This window comes from Homo sapiens, chromosome 3, assembly GCF_000001405.40.
Source record: "Homo sapiens chromosome 3, GRCh38.p14 Primary Assembly".
NCBI lineage: Eukaryota > Metazoa > Chordata > Mammalia > Primates > Hominidae > Homo > Homo sapiens.
Genome location: NC_000003.12, coordinates 90,121,384 through 90,143,879, shown reverse-complemented (window position 1 = coordinate 90,143,879; position 22,496 = coordinate 90,121,384). Strand labels below are relative to the sequence as shown.

Sequence of the window (22,496 nt, the reverse complement as noted above, 5' to 3'; positions counted from 1 at the left end):
GGTACTTACATTATTTTTGTTATTTTCATTCCTTACTTTAATTGGAAGAGCTATTGTAAGCCACTTGCCTATTTTATGGAGCTTTAGTTGAAACTGGATAATACAATTTGTAAATTCATTTGTTAGTTAAAACTGTAAAACCAGAAAGCCATTTTTTGGTGCAAATGTTGACTGTGACATCAACAAGATGAGAGCAAATGCACAAATGAAGTGACCTCTGTCCCATTTCTTCTAATTGGAGATGTTCCACTCTTTCCTCAGGGCATCCTGAACACTGTAGGTTATATGAATACATGACATATATATTGCCCTAATGGGTACACTAGTGTCAATCTGTATATTACAATCTTATAAAACTTAATTACTTATTTCTTTTTCTTTTTTTAAATATAAAAATGACAGATAATTAGGGATGCTGATATTTTCTACACTCAGTACAGTGCCTAGGCTTACTTACATCCTGGGATGCATGTACTCCATTTTGGAGAACCCTGACTGAAAGCATGGAGTTGTAGAAAAATTATGGACCAGCTAGTAGTGAGAATACTCATTGTTGTCTAATTATAGAACATACATTGGCTCTCTGTAGAATATTATATGAGTTACTCAATATTTTTGGAGCTCGTTTGTAAGATAAGGCATTTGGACTAAATACCTCTGAGGTCCCCCTGGATCTAACACTGCATGAAGATGAATTCCTTGTCTTTGTCCTTTTCACGTTTTTCAGGAGACCCATCCCTTCTTAATGTAATCTCCCTCTTATTACAGCAATGACCCCTAGTAGCCTTTAAGACAATATTGTGGGCTGAGTTAGTCTCTCATACGTCTTTTTTCCCCTTTATAGTCTAGCAAAATGTCTTGTTGCAAAAAACTCCCAACAGATGTTCTGCCAAAAACAATATGTAGGAGTCTAAGATGGCCAAGTCCAGGGCCACCCAATTGGTGTGATCCTGAGGCAAATGTTTAAAAGTCAAGGATGAAAGAAAGAAAAATTTATACAGATATTCTCACTCTCCTAGACAGAGTTGGCAATAACTGTAGACCACTTAGAAACAGGTGTAGTCACAGCAGGGAGAAGATTTATCTCATTGTTTTCTTGACCAGGACTTAGTTCTCTTTCTGATGCTAATTAGTAACTAGTTATTTACCTGACTACTAATCTTAATGAGATAGTTCAGCATAGATTGGAAGATTATTACAATCGCTTGCATTTTAGAGTATTTTGAATCTGACCATCTTATCATTGGATTTCTGAATTATTAACTTTGGGAAAATAGGGTATCCACTGCATTCATTCAAGGAAGTTTTAAAACACATGTGAAGTAAAATCTGAGAAAGAAGATGGGTTGGATTTTGAGCAGATGGAATATCACCCTGATGTGTTTTGTCTTCATCTCTTAGCTCATGGGAACTTTGTTATTTTTTGACTAGGCTTGGACCTAGTTCTAAAATCAGGTTTTAGGAAAAAAAGTATTTTTAATTATGCTTAAGATGAAATATAAGAGCATTTAAAAATTGAAGCAAGCTACTTAGAGGAGAGCAGATACTTAGTGATGAGAGCAAGGCAATGGAAAAATTAAAATTGGTCTAGAGAGGAAAAAATGTGCAAATTGGTGACTGAATATAAGAAGGAAAGAGAAAGTGTCAAAGATGATACTGAAATAGTTTAAAAATTAGTCTGTGATGAATGGCATTTAAACATGGTAATTATATGTATGTATTTATGTCATATATATGTATGATAAATATGTATGCATATATTTTTATTACTGAAATTCAACCAAAGCTAAATTTCCTGAAGGGGAATTATTGTTCAGCAAAAGAACCATGAAGCGTATACTAGTGAAAAACATGAAGGCTTGCCCTCAATGTACTCTTTCCACCCCCTCTGGCAGTGATGTAACGAGGAGCTATTAGTATTTTTGTTGTCACCAACTACTCATGCAAACTACATTAATTTTGCTGAAAATGGTCATTAGGAAAGTTAATTATTTTTAAAGTGTTAACTGATTATTGCATAAGTACTATGTGTTCACTAATTATTATTCCTTTTCATTAATTATATATAATTACTTAATTCCTAGAAGCAGATGATTCTTGTTTTACCATGCTGTTCACTTCTGTTAATTTGGCTTACCAGATAATCCTTTGTACTAATCCAGAACCATACACTTGAGTGTTCAGAGTAATTTGATAAACATTAACTTGCTAATCCTAATGACTTCTTGGTATCAAAATGAAAAACCTTCTTGCTAGCTTGTGTCTTATAGTCACCATCAAGTTGACAATTGAATAGTATCTGAATAAACAAAGGTAATGAAACCATATATAATGCTTGATAATTCTTGGGAATTAGCTCATTTCCCCAATGGGGGAAGAAAAATAAATCATACCTGATATATGGAATTATTCTGCTTATGCTGTAAATACAGAAACTTTAAAAATCACAATTTTAATGTGAAGGAGAAAAAAGTAAATATAGACAAACATTATTATAAATCAAATTTACATTTTATATCTACATGCAAAACTTGAATTTATTTGTAGATTAATCTAATTTTGAGACACAGTCTGATACAATTTACTGTTCCTTATAAATATAAACAAATGTTGTATGAAACAATTTAATATTGTGCTATTTAACAATGTAGCATTTTTTTTTTGTATTTTCAGGATATTTGTCTTTGGTAGTTCTTCCAAAATATTAAAATGATGGGTTTGTGTGTCATCAAATCTATTTGTTATTCAAAACAGCAGTCACCTTCATTTTCTTATACTCCAATCCCCACTGATTATACTTTCCACTCTGACTATAACTTCAACTCTACTTGCAAGTATCTTTTTTCTCTGGAGATACTACCATCAACTTTTTATATAATAGAGGCTTGAAAGAAAATGTTTGAGAAAGCAGAATAGTGACCAATTCACCATGATACAGAATAAAGGGATTTAGCTTTATATTTTTAGTCATTGTATAATAGTATATTAGAACACATTTCAAAGACTTATTTCATGCCCTTCTGATAAATACAGAAGAGTAAGACACAACTATTCAAACAGAGGAATTTTATACAATGAGTGGTTGAATTCCAGCTTAGATCAAATGAATTGTATCAATGTATCTTGAGACAATGCTATGTATCAAGAAGCATTTCAATTGCAGAATATATGAATTAAAAGCTCATTTTTCTTTGTTGGGTGCAGTGGTTCAGGCCTGTAATCCCAGGATTTTGGGAGGCCAAAGTAAGCAGATCACTTGAACCCTGGAGTTTTGAGACCAGCTTGGGCAACATGGCAAAACCCAATCTCTACAAAAAAAAAAAAAAAAAAAAAAAAAAAATCATCCAGAAGGCTGAAGAATTGCTTGAGCCAGGGAAGTCAAAGCGGCAGTGAGCCTTGATAGCGTGATTGCACTCCATCCTGGGAAAAAGAGCGAGACCGTGTCTCAAAAACAAAAACAAAAACAAAAAAACAAAAGACACCTACAAAAAAACACCCTATTGTTCTCATTTGTGAAGGTCAATAAATCTGAATGCTGTTGGTTGTCACATAGGGAAGTTACCTTGCTTAAGGTAGAAGAATAACATACATCTTAAAAAAATAAGCTACCCAGGTCCAATAAAAATCAGCCAGGTAAGTGAACCCGGGAGGCAGAGCTTGCAGTGAGCCGAGATCGCACCAGTGCACTCCAGCTTGAGCGACAGAGCAAGACTCCCATCTCAAAAAAAAAAAAAAAAAAAAGTCAGCCAAATAAAAGAAGAGTGAAATAGTTTATTCCTTGCATGCAAGCATAGTGTTTACTTATAATGAATAGGAGAAACGAAACTGTTAGAAGTAGTAGAAAGTGCATTAGATAGAATGATGCTTGTTTGGAAGTGTTTTTCTAATTGTAATGCAATCTACTATTCTAATTTATTATTATCACTATTGCAAATCATTAGACATGGGTTTTAATCCCAATTCAGCAAACTAATTAGCAGTGAGCTGTTGGGCAAGTGTTTCATCTTCCCTTGTCCTAAACTAGATAATTTCTAAGGTCTCTTCAAATTAAAAATTTGTTATTTTATTAAAGTCCAAATAAATATGTTGCATCTTGGATGAGTTAAAAACCACATAATTAATTATGCAAATTAAGAACTCTAGACCCGCATTCAGTAAAAAGTAATCAACAGGTGTGAAAATATTTTCAGTTCTGTAAATTTAGGTGCATATCTTTATTCATGTTCATCTTTTTCTTTAATGTATAGACGTGTAAGTGATTTACCATCCACATTTTTAAAAGCTAGATTCTCTAATTTTAGTCATTATTAACAAGTGAGATTAGGTTTCTAAAATGGTGAAGATTTCACTTCTCAAATTTATTTTCATTCCTTTTCTCTTTTTTTTTTTTTTTTTTTGAGAGAGGGTCTCTGTCACCCAGGCTGGAGTGCAGTGGCACAATCAGCTCACCGCAGCCTTAAACTTCTGGCCTCAGCCTCCCGAGTAGCTGGGACTACAGGAGAGTGCCACCATGCCCAGCTCATTTTAAAATGTTTTTATAGATATGGGGACTTGCTATGTTGCTCAGACTGGTCTCCAACTTCTGGCCTCAAGTGATCATCCCTCCTCGGATGCCCAAACTGCTGGAATTATATGTATGAGCCACCATACCTGGCCTTGTACTGTATTTTCTTACATTATTTTTCTCTTTGTAACTATATAGCAGAGCATTTGGTATACAGAAATTCTCCACTGTAGTTCTCAACTTTTCAGACAAACAACTAATTAATGGAATTTTCCAGGTACAAACACAGCATCTCAAAAATGAAGTCACATGCATTCAGTTAAGAGAGAATGAAGAGAGTATTCTTCCTCAACCTCTCTGTTATTTTCTAGCTAACACCTACTTACAATATATGGTGAAATACTTAAAACTTAATATTGTTTATTACTTCAATTTGTTATCCTTTGTATTTTTATAATCTCTCCTTTGAAGCCCAGCAACTGATTCTTAGATACTTTTCTTTAAAGGCAATTGGGTTACTCTCTGGATAATATCAGCACTCTGCATTTCTTCACATAAAAGTACCAAATGAATGAGAAGAGAGAAAGCTGTCTCACATACAACATGAATGTGCTTTTCAAGAAAGGGAGGTAAGATAAAGACTTGTATTTAGATAAAGAGAATTAATTGAAACTTTAGTAAATAGCAGCTTTTCTCTTTGTGACTTTACTCCTTTTTTTTTTTTTTCTTCTGGACCTATGCTTACCCATGTGACTGTACTCTTTAAAGCCTTATGGGGAATGATTTCTGTATTCTGGGAAGTAGAATGGAGGCTTTGGCACTGATAAGGTAGCTAAGCCACTGCAAACTTCTGGAGAGAAGCAAAGTTTAAGAGAAAAGTTCCCATTTTCTTTTGCTTTTTATCTTGAGCAAAATTTAAAGTTTCAAGGGCACATGATCATGGTAGAATTGCCACGGGATGGTGGAATCAACCCTCAAAATGTATAGTGGTACCATTAATGTAGGTAATAAAGAATGACTCATATCTATAATCAGAAAAGAGAGTTCATTTGGGGATATGCTAAGACATCTTGATGTGGATCAATCAAAACTAATCCATTTTGACCAAATCAAGGCATGATCATCTACAGCTTGAAAATAATTTTAGTAGGATAATCTTTTTTTGCCTTCAAAATGACCTTACTCAGAACTCTGATGACACAACAGATAAAAGTGAGGTTTTGTTTGTATATATTTACTTTATAATTAACTTCATATTTGTTACATTTTCTTGTTGTAAAGTCAACATTTAGAACAATATTTAATCCATAATACATGTAAATATAAGTATAGCCACCCTAATTAAAGGCAGAGACTATTGGGATGAAAGAACAAAACCATCTATATGTTGTCTATAAAAAACTCACTATGAATATAAAGACATAGCTCCGTTAAAAGTTACAGAACAGAAAAGGTTGAATGATGCAGACGTTAAACGTAAGGAAGTTGGTGTGACTCTATTAATATCAAGAAAAATTGACTTCAGAACAAAGAATGTTACCAGGGATAAAGAAGAATACCACATAATAATAAAGGGGTCACTTTATCCAGAAGATACAAGAATTTTAAATATAAATACACCTAATAATAGAACTTCAAAATATGTAATCCCAAACTGGCTGAAGTGGAAAGATAAATAGACGAATCTACAATTATAGTTGAAGATCTCCACCCTCAGTTTCTCACTGTGGTGTCAAGTGGTCTTTCCTCTCTGCTCACATACTTCTGGAATCTCTTCCTCTCCTATAAAGGGTGCCAGTCCTATGGATTTAGCAACCCATATTTTTTTACCCCATTTATCCTTAGTTATCTCCTTAAAGATTCTATCTCCAAAAACAGTCACATTGGGCTTTAAGACTTCACCACACAATTTAGTCCCTGACATTCTACTCTGGTCAGCAATATTTATGTCCTTCTCTAATGCAATATAGTCATCTTGTGAAGGTTAATTTTATGTGCTAATTTGACTAGGCTAAGGAATGCCGAAATAGCTGGTAAAACACTATTTCTGGCTGTGTCTGTGAGAGTGTTTTGGAAGAGACTAGCATTTGAATCAGTGGACTGAGTAAAGAAGATTTATCCTCACCAATGTGGGGGGTGATCATCCAATTTTTGAGGGTCCAAGTAGAAATAAAAGCAGATAAAAAGTGAATTCTCTCTTTTCTTGAGCTTGGATATCCATCTCTCTCTCTTTTTTTTTTTTTTTTTTTTTTTTTGCTCTTGAATATTGGAGCTCCTAGTTCTCCAACCCTCAGACTGTGGGACCAATACCAGCAAACCTCCAGTTTCTCAGGCCTTCAGGCTTGGAGTGGGAGTTACAACACTGACTTCCCTGTTTCTCAGGACTTTGGACTTAGGCTGAATTATGCCACTGGCTTTCCTGTTTCTCCAGTTTGCAGATGGCATCTTATGGGACTTCTCAGGCTACATAATTGCATGAGCCAGTTTTCATAATAAATCTCCTCTTATACATATCTATACATATTTTATTGGTTCTGTTTCTCTGGAGAACCTTGACTAATATACAACCCATCCCAATATCCCCAAAAGTCTTAACTCATTCCAGCACACATTTCAAGTCCAAAGTCTCATCTAAATATTATCTAAATCAGGTAATGGTAAAATTCAAGATATGAGTCATACTGGGGCAAAATTCTCTTAACTCATTCCAGCACACATTTCAAGTCCAAAGTCTCATCTAAATATTATCTAAATCAGGTAATGGTAAAATTCAAGATATGAGTCATACTGGGGCAAAATTCCTCTCCAGCAGTGAAACTGTGAAACCAGACAAGTTCTGTGCTTTCAATATATAATGGTAGGAAAGACATTTCCATCCCAAAAAGTGGAAGTAAGAAAGAAGAAAGAAGTGATGGTCCCAATTAAGTCCAAAACTAGCAAGCCAAGGCTCAAAAACCATCTTCTTTTGCTCAATACTCTACATTCTGGTCCCACTGGGCATCAGGTCATCCCCACAGCCTTAGGAGGCAGCCTTACCCCTGTGGCTCTACAGAATGGCCTTGCAATGAGACACTGGGCAGTGGCATCCTCGCCCTAATCTCTGAAACTCAGGAGGAGACAGCCTACCCTGTGGTGGGAGGTGCAGCCCTGATTTTTGAATCACTTTCAGGGTCATTCTTCCTTTTATTTCAAGTGTATTTGAAGCTGGATAGCTTTATTGTCACATCCCGTAGCATTTCAGAAGTCTGACAGCCTTCTTTTATTCTTTCCCATTTTCTCTGTCCCCTTTAGTCTCAACTGATAGATTACCTATGGATTTAATCAGCCCACTCAGTTGAAGCCAGAAATAAAGATATGCACATATCTTTTTATGAAGCAATTGACAGTTAAACCCCTGGTGTTCCCTCCAGAGCATGCTTTCTAATTTTTTTGCAATATGGATAGGTTGAGAAATTTTCAAATCTTCAAGTTCTGGTTCTTTTTAACAATTCCTCTCATTTATCTTTTTCCTCTCTCATTTTACTATAAACAGTGAAGATATGCCAGGCTGCACCTTTAATACTTCACTTAGAAATGTCCTCCACAAAGTATCCAAGGTTATCACTCATGGTTCTATCTTCGAGAAAATATGAGAAAACAATTTTGCCAAGTTCCTTGCCACTTTATAATGTGAAAGTTGCCGATAGCAGAATGATTTCTGGCCTGACTTTTGTCAGGCCCAGACAAAGTAGGGCTGGGAAGGCACAAAGGAGAGGAGGCTCATGCTTACTTGTCTGAAATAAGAATTTTTACCAAAGACTTTCTAAAAATCCCACAGGAAGCCCTTTTACATCCTTCACACCTCTTCTGCTTTGACAAGGTTTATCTGCTGGCTTGACATTCTATGCATTCTGAAATCTAATCCTTATTCTCATTCCTGAATAAACTTAACATATTTGGCAATAATTTTCTTTATTTGTTTTTTCAGGTTGATACTAATGATTGCATTTTCTTAAGCTTCTAATAACATGTTCCTCATTTTCATCTGAGGTCTATCCTGAAGCATTTTTAATGTTCACTTTTCTAAAAACATTCTGTTCGTGATGATATATGTATTCTGTAAGACAATAGAAGGTTGTAAAGGGCTGCCTTCTCACTGTGTCCTTATCTGGCCTTTATTCTCTCTTTCTCTGTCTCTCTGTTTCTCTCTCTCTCTCTCCCTGTGTGTGTGTGTGTGTGTGTGTGTGTGTGTGAGAGAGAGAGAGAGAGAGAGAGAGAACATGCTCTGCTAACTTTTTCTCTTCTTGTAAGAACACCAGTACTATTGGATTAGGTCATCACTCTGATGACCTTGTTTTATCTTAGTTACCTCTTTAAAGGGCCTGTATACAAATACAGTCACACTGGGGCTTAGGGGTGCAACATGTGAGTGTGAGGGAACAAAATTTTGTCCAAACAACAACAAACTACCAATGCTTAGTGGCTTAAAAACAATAACAGCTTTGATTTAGCTCATAAATTTTCAATTTGGGTAGGACTCAGTTCAGCTTGTCCCTGCTCCACTCAGTGTCAACAGGGGCAGCTGGAAGGGTGTCATTTACTCATAGGTCTAGCAGCTGATGCTGACAGTCATCTATAATGTTAGTGGAGGATATCAGCTGAACGTCTACAAGTTCCATGAGGCGGCTAGGTTTCAAAGGTGAGAGTTTTGAGAGGTAGAGAAAGAGCCAAGCAGAAGCCATATTCCACCTATGACCTAGCTTCTAGAGTCACATAATATCACCTATTTTACGTTTTATTTATAAAGTTCTACCCAGCTTCAAGTGGAAGAAAAATAGACTTTTGCTCTTGATGAGAGAATAGCAAGGATCTAAAAATATTGCTGTAGAAGGAGAAATATTACTGTGGCCATTTTTTGAAAATACAATTGACCACATTATATATGGTTACCATGCTTTGAGAATTATAAATTGGTATCTTCTCTTTGGTTTACCACTAATCACATCTCCTCTTGCAGTTTTGTGCCATAGCAAGTAATCAATCATAAATATTTTTATTTTACCTTAGAATCATCAAAACACAAGGGCAGAAGCCAACAGGACTTTATGCATGGCTCAGCAATTTGCAGATTTATTAGATACTATTTATATTTAATCAAATATACCTACTTATAAAGGGCAAGAGTTTTTGCACAAGATAACAAATGACTTATTTTTAGCCTGGAAGGTGGCTGGATGTAAAAAACTGGAGGAAAACAGACAAGTATAGTAAACTGCTTTGGAAAATATTTTGAAAGCAAATTAAATTCCCTAAATTATTCTTTAGCTAAGCATTATATAGGTTGTGGCTCATTTTCTCAAGTCAATGTGTTAAAAATAAGTGCTTGAAATTAATATGTCAAGTATTTAAGAATAAAATTAATAATATGTATAATAAAACAATAAATTTAATAAAGTAATATTTCATTTTTATTTATTTTTGAACATTCATTATTTTAATTACTGGTCTCTGTAAAATTCCTCATTTTTTATAGCTTAGTAGTTGCACATCATGTTACAATGGTACTTTATTTCAAAACTTTGTTACAGGTCTTTACAAAGAAAACGAAAAAACCCATTGTTCAATCTTCCTATCATCTATTGTCTTTTTTTTTTTTTTCCTTCTTTCCTAGCCTCTTTCCATTTTAGGGTAAGATTTCCCAGTGACACTAACCAACACACAACCTTACTGTTTCTCTGAATCTCACTTTCTTCCTCACTTTTCTCTGATAGAGGTGACATAACATAAGAAAACATTTCTAAATGGCTGCCTATATTTGAGGCCTTCCCAGGTTAGATGCTGGTTAGCCTGTGGTCATTATAGGAAAATACAAATTGTTATTTTGTGCCCCTACAGGAACTGACTGTGGGTTTGTCTTCACTTTGACTGGCGCCAGGCAAATATGAGATGCAAAGTTGTGTTGAACCACATAATAATTCTGATGGGCATTAAATTTTAAGTTTGTTCAGAAAGAGGATGAATTTATGAATTACAGAATAGTAAATCCTTTGAAAAAGAAGAGGAAACATAAAATGAGATGCAATATAGATTTATATGCAATGTTGAAGTTTGGTCAGCATTATTTTTCAGATATTCTTATTTTTGTATGTGACATGCAATTATTTAGTTTAGACAGGTAAGTTCTTGGTGAAGAAGGGAGAAGGAAAAATTGAAAGAAAAATAAAATGACAGCATTTTAAAAAAGCAACACAGCAGGCAGTTTTAGAACAGGTGAAATGAATAAACTCCATTATTAAAATAGAACAATATGATAATGTTAGTGTGTGAGATACTTATTTAGAATCTACTAAAACCTATTATTACTCAGTAGATGCTGTTTTGTATATTGCTTCCCTTGATAAAATATCATGCAGACTAAAATGCTGGAGTATTTTAAGGAGCAGACTGTTACATGTCACCTGGATTTAAGAGAAAAACTTATTCATCACTGAAGTTTTTCTCAGACTAAAAAGATAAATAAATACATACATAAAGACGTAACAACCAAGCTTATAAAGACAGGTTCTTATTTTAATTTGGAACAGTTCTACTCTTAGAAAATTTGTCAACAAAAGCACACAAATTGAATCCTGTTTATTTTATTGTAATTAAGTCAAGAGTGGACATTTTCTACACTATCCCTTAAGAAATAAACAATAAGGTAAGTTACTTTTTACTTTTTTTACACTATTTATTTTTCCAATATGAGAATAATTAGTGAGCTCATTCTTTTAACAGCTGTCCCTGTTGTTCAGGATTTTTCTAAGAAGATCAGGGCCACTGGATGGAAAATAGAACTTAAAAAATCTAATAATAATAATAAAAAACCCACAAAGCATGTCTGAGGAATTAAGTAAAAACAATAAATAAGTCATTTTACAAGAGTTCAGTGATCTGGAACTTCCTATTCCACTTACCCACATTGAGGTTGTGTTGGTTAGTGTCAGTGGGAAATCTTACCCTGAAATGGAAAAATATTAGCAATGAGTCAGCCTCAAAGGGTTCACATTGAGTTTGAATAAGTATCCTGAGTTCAAACGTCTATTGGGATCTTAGTTAAACCTCTACCATCTACTAGTGCAGACCAAAAACTTTGACAGAACTGGCTTTTTTCCAGTATTGCTCCAGCATCTTCTGTCTCTATCAGAATGTTAATTTCTAAATTCCCTATATCCCTTATGTTTAATATATTTTCCATTCTTGCTCAATGGGTGTTCCTTCTTCACAGACATAGTAACGTTGAAAGTAAATTTACATATGCAGAAGATATGCAGTGGTAGGAAAAAGGTGAAGAAAATCTAACACCAAAGAAGTAAAACTCAGAGTTTTAGAGCCTCTGATTATAAGTGAATATGAGAAACACATGGGAAAAGAAAAGGTTAAAACTTTACAAAATTCTGCAAAAATGCATGACAATAAGTAAAAACAGTGTTAAGTTAGCTGGTTACATACATTAAATGTCATTTGATGAGGTCTTTGTAAAAATAATTCAAGCTATTAGATCTTTGGTTTGCACTGCCAAGCATAATTTATCCATTATCCGTTCCTCGTTAAATCAGAAAATTTCATATAATGTATCTTAGTAATTTAAAAAAATGTGATATGGGGGTTGGGAATTCTGAACATCAATATTCTTATTACTAGACTTTCTTCATACTACACAAACTAAATCTTAAAGGAGGTTCTGTTTTATCCTAGAGTAATTCCCTAGCTATGACATCTTAAAATTTCATGCCAGTGTGTTTAGAGTTGAACAAATTAGGAAGATATGGGGAGTAAAACTGGCCCTTTTGTAATTCTATAATAAATTATTATTATATATTTTGCTAACTTTGTTTGCAACTTCTAATAAAATATTTGATTGTGGCAATAATCATTAACAAGTGATAAATACTATTAGGTGAAAGATTGCTACAGATATTCATGAGATGTAAAAATATCATCACAAATATTACTTGTTGGTCACCAAGGGAAAAAGATATACTTTTATAGAGAAGGGATAAAGCTGTCACCCCATCAACTGAGAATCCAATGTTAGCATCACTAATATTGCAGATGTGATGTATGTCTTATTGTGATGCAGTATGAGGTACATAGCATCACCTATAAAGTATTATGTTGCATCACACTCCAGCACAATGTTTGTTCTAATTGGCTTCAAGACTTCTTTTGAATTTTGAGAGAATTTCAAGATGAAATGAGTATTAAATGGTACAAAAAATTAAGTTTGTTAAGTGCAATAATGGTGTTTTCTTATACAGGAAAACATTATCTTTAAGGATTACAAATAGTGATGTGGTGTTGTATTTAGGGCTTAAATATCATGATGTCTATATTTACTCCAAATTATAACACAAAAATAGATTAAATAATATAGTAATTGCCAGTTGTTAATTGTGATGATGAATGTATTACTCAGGGTTCTCCAGAGAAACAGAACCAAACGAATGTATGTGTGTATATATACATATATACGTATATATACACCTATATATACATATATACGTATATATACACCTATATATACATATATACACATATGCACACATACGTGTGTGTATATATACACATATCTATGTGTGTGTATATATATGTACATATATATACACATATTTATGTGTGTGTGTGTGTATATATATATATAGACTGAGAGAGAGAGAGATTTATATTAAGATAATTTTGTTTTAAAGAATTGCCTAAAATGATTATGGAGACTTTACCAGCCAGTCCAAAATACGCGGGGTGGACCAGAGAAGGGCCAGTGTTCAGGTGAAGTCTGAAGGCCATTTGCTGGGGAAAGCTCAGTCTTTTGTTCATTTCAAGTTTTCAAATGATTGTATGAGGCCCACCCACATCATGGAGGACAATCTGCTTTACTCAAAGTTCATGGATTTAAGCATTAATCTCATCCAAAAACTTGCTTACAGAAACATCCAGAATAATGTTTGACCACATATCTAGACACTGTGGCCCAGCCAAGTTCACACATAAAATTAACCATCACAATGGGTATATGAAACTTATTATTTTTCTACCTTTCTGCTAGATTTAAAATCTTCGAAATTAATATTTTTTAAAATATTTAAAAATTTATCTTGTAGATATTTATTTCTTATAAAATGTTGTTCCATTAGTTGTTGTTTCATTAGTTGTATGAAAAATTAAAATATGAATTCTGAGAATACAGAAAAGTTTATTATCAGTGCTTACTTTATCAACCTTAGTCAATGACATTTACACACTGCTCTTTACAGTATTATACAGAGAACAGAAACGAAAAAGAAAAAAAAAATTGAAGTCTTTGATGTTTAAAGTAGGAAAAACAGATGTGAAAGATTCGGTGGTTTAGGTTTCTGGTATATTTTATGCTGCATCTGTGGAGAAAAATGAAAAAAATTATTCTAATCCCATAGAAGCTTTCAAAGGATTTTTTTTTAAATTGCAAGTCCAAATCAATTACGTCATCCAATGATATCTATATGGACATGTTTAAACAGGATTTGACATATCTCCTGGTCTCATGGCTTGTGGTGTTGAGACAAATTTTATTTTAATCATTGGATACTCTTTAGTAAAGACAAAAGAGTACTCAACCCATTTAGAATACTTGGGGAATAGCTGAGAGATGGTATGATTGCACTCGAGATTTCTGACAGAGCTCAAATTAGAGAGAGAAAAAACAAGTAAAAATATGCTGGTATTGTTTGTGATAACAACCAAGGCACTTAGTAAATAATTTAAAAAAATAATGCCTGATTCAATGATTTAAATCAAAACAATATGAATGCTGGAAAACTATGAATTAGAGTTAACTGTGCTCACAGGAGAAGTGTCACTGGTGGGAAAAAAGTTTCTTGCAATGGCCGCTGGGACAAGAATAGGAAGCAGACAGGGAACAGAGTAGCTTTTGTCCTCCCCCAGTCCTCCAAACTCCCTCTAGCAGCACCTATTCTCAATGTACAACAGGGAGACAGCTGGGTAAAGCAGAAATATGGTTTATAGATGTCCAGCCCCAGCATCACACAAAGCAGTATTGAAGGTTGCGCTTGAAGCTTACTATGCAGCACACATGCTACTGATAACAGATCACTGAATATAATTAAGAATTTTTATCTCAAGTAAAATCATGTCTTATACAAACACTATATATATCATAAAGCTTTGGCCATGATTGCCTCTACTTTTTCTCCTTAGGTTACCTTTGGCCACTTTATTCTCATTACCCCTTCCCTCAAAGTGGAGGAGAGAAGAAATGGAAAAGAATAGATATGATAATATATAGAAATTACAGTTTGAAGAGAAGATTAGAGACCAAGCCAGACACTATCTTATATTCTGGGAAATGTAGATGTCTGGTGAACACAAATGCCTTTGTGATCTTTAACACAGTATTTTATTGCTTATTAAACCTTCCTTCCAAAGTATCAAGCCCAGCTGAAAATATGATTATATAAACTAGGGATTAGAGTATGATCTAAAACTTCTGCAAGAGCATTTCTTTTTTTCTTTTTTGTTTTTTTGAGGCAGGGTCTCACTCTGTCACCCAGGCTGGAGTGCAGTGGCATAGTCATGGCTCACTGCAGGGTCAACCTATCTAGGCCCAAGTGACCCCCCCACCTCAGCCCCACAACTAGCTGGGACTACAGGTGCGTGTCACCATTTCTGGCTAGTTTTTGTAATTTTTTTGGTTGAGATGGGGGTTTTCCATGTTGCCCAGGCTGGTCTTGAATTCCTGGGCTGAAGCAATCCACCCGCCTCAGCCTCTCAAAGTACTGGGATTACAGGCATGAGTCACTGTGCCTGGCCACATTTCTTATTTTATGCTAAAAATAGAATTATATTGGGTTTCTTATTTTAATAAAAAAATTAGTCCCCTCCATCTATAAGGTGTTGCATGTTTAATGTGTGACTTGATTAACAACAGCACACAGTCACCCAACCCACAGATACATAGTTTAAGAAACATGACAGCAAATCATTTATACATGTGTCACTTAAATGTATAAATGATGTTGGCTTTGTTAATATAGTCATGAATTGCTTAACAACAATAAAAATGGGATGTGTTCTCAAAATGTGTTGTCAGGTAATTTTGTTGTTGTGTAAACATTATAGAATGTACTTACACAAACCTACTTGACATAGCCTACTACACATATAAACTACGTGGTATAGCCCACTGCTCCCAGGCTACAAACCTATATAGCATGTTACTATACTGAATACTCTAGGTAATTATAATGCAATGGTGAGAATTTTTGTAACCAAACATAAAAAGTACAGGAAAAATACAGTATAAAAGACAAAAAGACAAAAATGATACACCTGTATAGGGCACTTTCTATGAATGGAGCTTGCAGGACTGGAAGTTATTCTGGGTGAGTCAGTGAAAGAATGTGAAGGTTTAGGCATTACTCTATACTACTGTAGACTTTATAAACACTGTAGACTTAGGATATACTAAATTAATTTTTAAAAAGTTTCTTTAATGATAAATTAGTTTTAGCTTAGTGTAACATTTTTAAACTTCTTTTTTTAATGTTTTAGCTCTTTTTAAATAATGTTTACCTTAAAACAAAACACATTATACAGTTGTACAACAAAAATATTCTTTTTTTAAACAAATATGTTTTATGTTCATAGCTTGGAAAAATTAATACTGTTTAAAATGTCCATATTACCCAAAGCAATATACAAATTCAATACAATTCCTATCAAAATTTCATGAATTTTTTACAGAAATATAAAAAATTTTCCTAAAATTTGCATGGAACCACAAAACACCCCAAATACCCAAAGCAATATTGAGCAAAGTAAATAAATACAACAAAACATACAAACAAAAAAATAAAGCTGAAGACATCATACTACCTGGCTTCAAAATATACTTCAAAGCTATAATAATCAAAACAGCATGGTACTGGCATAAAATACATGTAGACCAATGGAGTAGAATAGAGTGCCCAGAAATAAATCCACACAGTTACCGTCCACTGATTTGCAACAAAAGTATCAAGAATATACAATGGAAAAAGGACAGTCTCTTCAACAAATGGTGTTGGGACAATCTGATATCCAGATGCAGAAAAATGAAATTAGAGCCTTATCTCACACTGTATACAAAAGTCACCTCAAAATGGATTAAAGACTTAAACATAGAACTGAAATTGTAAAACTAACAAAAGAAAATACAGTGGGAAAGATCAATAGCACTGATTTGAGTAATGATGTTTTTTATATGACCTTGAAAGCACAGGCAATAAAAGCAAAAATAGGCTAATGGATCAAACTATAGCATCAAACTAAAAAGCTCCTGCACAGCAAAGAAAACAAGATTGAAGGGACAATCCACAAAATGGGAGAAAATATTTGCAAACCATACATCAGATAAGGAGTTAACATACCTAATATATAAGGAGCTCAAACAACTCAATAGTAAGAAAACAAATAACAAGATTTAAAGGATGGGCAAAGGATGTGAATAGACATTTCTCAAAAGAAGACACACAAGTGACCAACAGGTATACTAAAAAATGCTCAACATCATGAATCATCAGAAAAATGCAAATTAAAACCCCAATGAGATATCACCTCACACCTGGAAGAATGGCTATTATTGAAAGAGGAGAGATAACAAGTGATGGAGAGGATGTGGAGAAAAGGGAATCTTGCACACGGTTGGTAGGAATTTAAATTAGTACAATCATAGTAAACAATATGGAGGTTACTCAAAAAATTGAGACTAAAACAACTATCCAGCAATCCTACTACTGGGTATATATCCAAAGGAAATGAAATCAGTATGTCAAAGACCTATCTGCACTCCCATGAATCAACTTAAATGTCCATAGTGGATGAATAGATAAAGAAAATGTGAAATATATATATACAGTGGAATACTTGTCAGCCATTAGAAAGAATAAAATCCTGTCATTTGTGACAATATGGATAAATCTGGAGGGCATTATGTTTAGTGAAATAAGCCAGGCACAGAAAGACAAATACTGCATTATCTCATTCACGTGGAATGTAAAAAAGCTGATCTCATAGAAGCAGAGAGTATAACAGTGATTACCAGAGATGGTTAGGGCAGTAGTAAGGAGGAGAAGTTGAGGAGAGGTTGGTCAATGGGTACAAAGTTACAATTAGATAGGAAGAATAAGTTCTGGTGTTTTATTGAACAGTAGAGTGTAGTTAAGAATAACGTATATTTCAAAATAACTATTATAGAATAGAGGATTTTGAGTGTTCTAACTTCAAAGAAATGATAAATGTTTGAGGTAATGGATATGCTAATTACCATGATTTGATCATTACTCAGTGTATATATGTATTGAAACATCAGACTGTAGCCCATAAATAGGTATGTGTCAATTAAACTAATAAAAATAATAAAATGTATAGTTACTTCCAGGGGGTAGAAAATGTGGTATATATTCATGGTATACTATACAGCCTTAAAAAAGGAAAATCCTGTCATTTATGACAGGAAAAACAAATAAGATAATCCAATGTACCATTTGTTGAAAAGACTTGTTCTTTTTATTGTATTATCTTGACATCTTTGTAAAAACTCAGTTGACCATAAATGTGTGGGCTTAATTCTGGACTCTATTTCATTCCTTTGATCTATATGTTTATCTTTTCACTAAAAGTAGATTGTCTTGATATTGTAGCTTTATAAGTTTGAAAATCAGCTGTGAAATCCTCCAATCTTGTTCTACTTGTAAACATTGTTCTGGCTATTATAGGTCATTTAACGTTTCATATAAATTTTAGAATCAACTTTTCAATTTCTACAAAGAATTCCGCTGGGATTTTTATTGGGAATGTGTTTAACATTTAGATCAATTTAGGGAAGATTTGGTATCTTAGCAATACTGAGTCATCAGACTGTATGAACATATATACCTCCATTTACTTGGATCTTTTTTTTTTATTATACTTTTAAGTTTTAGGGTACATGTGCACAACATGCAGATTAGTTACATATGTATACATGTGCCATATTGGTGTGCTGCACCCATTAACTCGTCATTTAACATTAGGTATATCTCCTAATGCTATCCCTCCCCCCTCCCCCCCACCCCATAACAGGATCTGGTGTGTGATGTTCCCCTTCCTTTGTCCATGTGTTCTCATTGTTCAATTCCCACCTATGAGTGAGAACATACGGTATTTGGTTTTTTGTCCTTGTGATAGTTTGCTGAGAATGATGGTTTCCAGCTTCATCCATGTCCCTACAAAGGACATGAAGTCATCATTTTTTATGGCTGCATAGTATTCCATGGTGTATATGTGCCACATTTTCTTAATCCAGTCTATCATTGTTGGACATTTGGGTTGGTTCTAAGTCTTTGCTATTGTGAATAGTGTGGCAATAAACATACGTGTTCATGTGTCTTTACAGCAGCGTGATTTAAAATCCTTTGGTAAACAGGTGCTGGAGAGGATGTGGAGAAATAGGAACACTTTTATACTGTTGATGGGACTGTAAACTAGTTCGACCATTGTGGAAGTCAGTGTGGTGATTCCTTAGGGATCTAGAACTAGAAATATCATTTGACCCAAAAATATTCTTTCTTAATAACCTTGTTCTATATTTTTTTTCTACTTTAAAAATTATTTATTTTCTACTTTTTAAATGTTTTTGTTAAAAAAGACACGCATTAGCTTAGGCCTACACAGGGTCAGAATCATCAATATCACTGTCTTCCACTTTTATATATTGTGCCATTGGAAGTTCTTTAGGGACAATAACATGCATGAAGATATCATGTTTTATGATAATAATGTCATTTTTTTGAAATACGTTCTGAAGGACCTGCCTGAGGCTGTTTTACTGTTTATTTTTTTCCCTATTATGAAAGGAGTACATTCTAAAATAATAACAAAACTATAGTATAGCAAATACATAAGCCAGTAACATAGTCATTTATTATCAACTATTAGTTACTATACATAACAGTACATGTTACACTTTTATAGGACTGGCAACACAATAGGTTTATTTACACCAGCAGCACCGCAAACATGTATGTAACAAGTTTTGCTAAGACATGAAGGCAGCTACAGTGTCACTAGGCAATATAAATTTTTCAGCTCATTATCATCTTATGAGACCTCTGTTATATATGTGGTCTGTCATTGACTGAAATGCTGTTATATAGTGTATGACTACATAAATAAAAAAATCTGTAGAATCATAGAGACTCTCATATCTATCAATATAATCGTATTTGAAATTATTTGTATTGAAGCTACACAATAGAGCAGAAAAATTGCAAGATCGTAGATCTAAAGACTGCTATTATGTCTAGCCTTTCAATCTGTGAAGTCTTTGGCAAGTTAACCTGACTTTTTCGGCATTTTGTCATCTTTCAAATGGTGGTAATGCTCAGTCTGTGTAAGGAACTAATGCTTCAGTTCCAATTCTGTACCAGGCACTATATTTTAATAAATATTTATAACATCTTCATGGGATATGTATCATTATCTTCATGTAACAGAAAAGAAAACTAAACTTCAAAAGGAATAGAAAAAGGAAAGATCAAAGTCACAAAGCTAAGTGATAATCAAGACTTGAACCAGCCATTTCCTCTCCAATCTAGGATAAAATAATGTATGTGATTATACTTGTAATCTATGAAGTGGTTATATAAACATATTAATTCAAGATAATTTCTCTTTCAGCTTTCATCATTTTAAAACAAGAAAGATATTTTTAAAAATATCCCATCAAGCTTGTGGGCAGCAAATCTTAACACAAAAATTAATCCTCTAAGAGGAGGAACTCGTTCTTCCTTTGCACCTCCAACTTAGTTTCCTATGATTCGTTTTATTTTTTGATATGGGTTGAATTATCTCAACAATCACTCAGATTTTCACTTATTGAATGTTTCGTGTTAAAGGAAAAAACAATATTCGTTAAGATAACTTCAAAGTGTGTTTCATTCCCTTGAGAAATGAGAAAGCCTCATTCTTCCAATATAACCATGGTCACATTATGTGTTTGAAACTACTCTTTTTTCCCCAAAAGTAATTTGTTCCTCCAATTCCATTTAGTAAAATGTACTTTTTTTCTGCAACTGAATTCAAAATTCCTATACTCAATACTTCATTTAATTTCTCCTTTATCTGAATTCCATCAGTATTTAGAGTTCATGGCAAATAAATAATCGTGTGTGTGTGTGTGTGTGTGTGTGTGTGTGTGCGTGTGTGTGTGTGTATTTCCTCTAGGGTAAAGATCGCTAATCATAAGAACACTCAATATTTGATGGTAACACTTAAGTGTTGTTTCATACTGTTACCTGGTATTTTTAAGAGTATTATTATTGCTTTTCCAATTAGATTTAAATGCCTTGAAATAAGCCAGATTTTCATTATTATCTCAAAAGCTTTTAGCAACAATTGTCGTATTGCAGTTGCTTAGGCAATTCAATTAGCATCATTAATTCAGCAAGATTTTATTATAATGGTTCTTTAAATTCACCACTATATTGATATAGACTCAGCTTCAATCTCTATTAATAACCTTATTTTAAAATCTGCACATAATATTTAATAGGTTGAAGAAAGGGATGTATGGAAATAATGAAATAAAGTTTTCCATTTTTTTAATTGAGTCTATAATCATTTCAATGAAAATATTTAAATGCTGTAAATTAGTTATTTATGAGAAGGAATAAGTGAAAAACAAATTACTTCAGGGAAAATGATTCTCCCTTAAAACCAGAGTGTATACTAGTAACCAGAAGTCATGATTACCTGGATGGGTATGACTAGCTTAATATAATTTTTTTCTCTTATTGTTCCACAGTTGTCCCACTGTGGAAATTCACCTGTATCACCACTCCTTTTGGTACCAACCAAAGAGCAAGGGTAAAGTTTCTGTTAAAATGGAAAGGTAGACTGTGTAAGTAAAAGCTTTCCCTGAGACTTTCTGCCAATCTGGCAAAATTCAGGTCAATAAATCTGAACCACCTCTGAGATTGGGCCCATAGAACAGCCATTGCTGAGGCCAGGTCCAAACCAGCTTTATCCTTCTATAAGTGTGCTGACCTGAATAAATTCAATCAGAAGGCTTTATTCAGTCCCAGGTGAAAAAGAAAATCTCTTAAAAAGTAAAAAGAATCTCTTTTAATACATCTACCCTGACACTTATCAGGGATATCAGGAGAAAAGGAATTGTTAGAATAGATCGTGATCCTGATACCACATTTTTAGAATCAGCTTATTCAGGTAAAAGGTAAGGCATTTTGCAGGGCAAACTGAAAAACAAATTGCAGTCGTTGCCTTGTTAAACCTTGGAAGAAATGAAGAATTTCAGTCTTTGGTGCTGTCAAACTGACACCATTCATCATCCTTGAATTGGCTCTTGGCTTTAAAATAAATAAAACAAACCAGAGATCCTCTTCAGAGCCCCATAATAAAGAAAGGCAACTCCCTAATGTAGCTCTTCTTGATTTGGGAGTTGATAGCAGAAAAAAAAAAAAAAAAACGATTTCAAGTCCTTAATACTCCCAAGACTGAGAACCACACTGGAGTCAAACAATCTCAAGAAGTTACTGAACTAGGTATTGATTGCAAACTCGGGGGCTGTTTGTTATTTGATTTTTCAATTTCCAAGGAGTGAGGTGAAATTCACGTCTCTCCAGAAGAAAGCATGCTTTGGTTCCGGGAAGCAAGAGTTTACGTGACTTGAGTTCATTTGAAGAGAATAATTTATATTGGCATGAATAAATAATAGCAGGGAGTTCTAACTGTCCAAACACGATATATAATACCCTGAGAAAAAAATGTGGACCATGTTGTAATGTCCTGTATTTCACATTATGAGAAACGGTAAGAACTAAATCATTTCAAAATCACCTATGTACTGAGGTTTTTAAAGCTGCATTTGTCAAACAGCATCCTGGCATCAGTTTGAGATACAGGGGCAGCTTGTGTTGTAATTAACTGTCTACTCTCTAAG

The 22,496-nt window shown here is 33.9% G+C and overlaps 1 annotated feature.

Moving 5' to 3' along the window:
• Positions 776-1,388: an enhancer, noted in NCBI's record as "OCT4-NANOG hESC enhancer chr3:90191642-90192254 (GRCh37/hg19 assembly coordinates)". NCBI's record gives its function as "activates a minimal SCP1, AML or CMV promoter by ChIP-STARR-seq in primed H9 embryonic stem cells {active_cell/tissue: H9 hESC(primed)}" and the evidence as "EXISTENCE:reporter gene assay evidence [ECO:0000049][PMID:30033119]".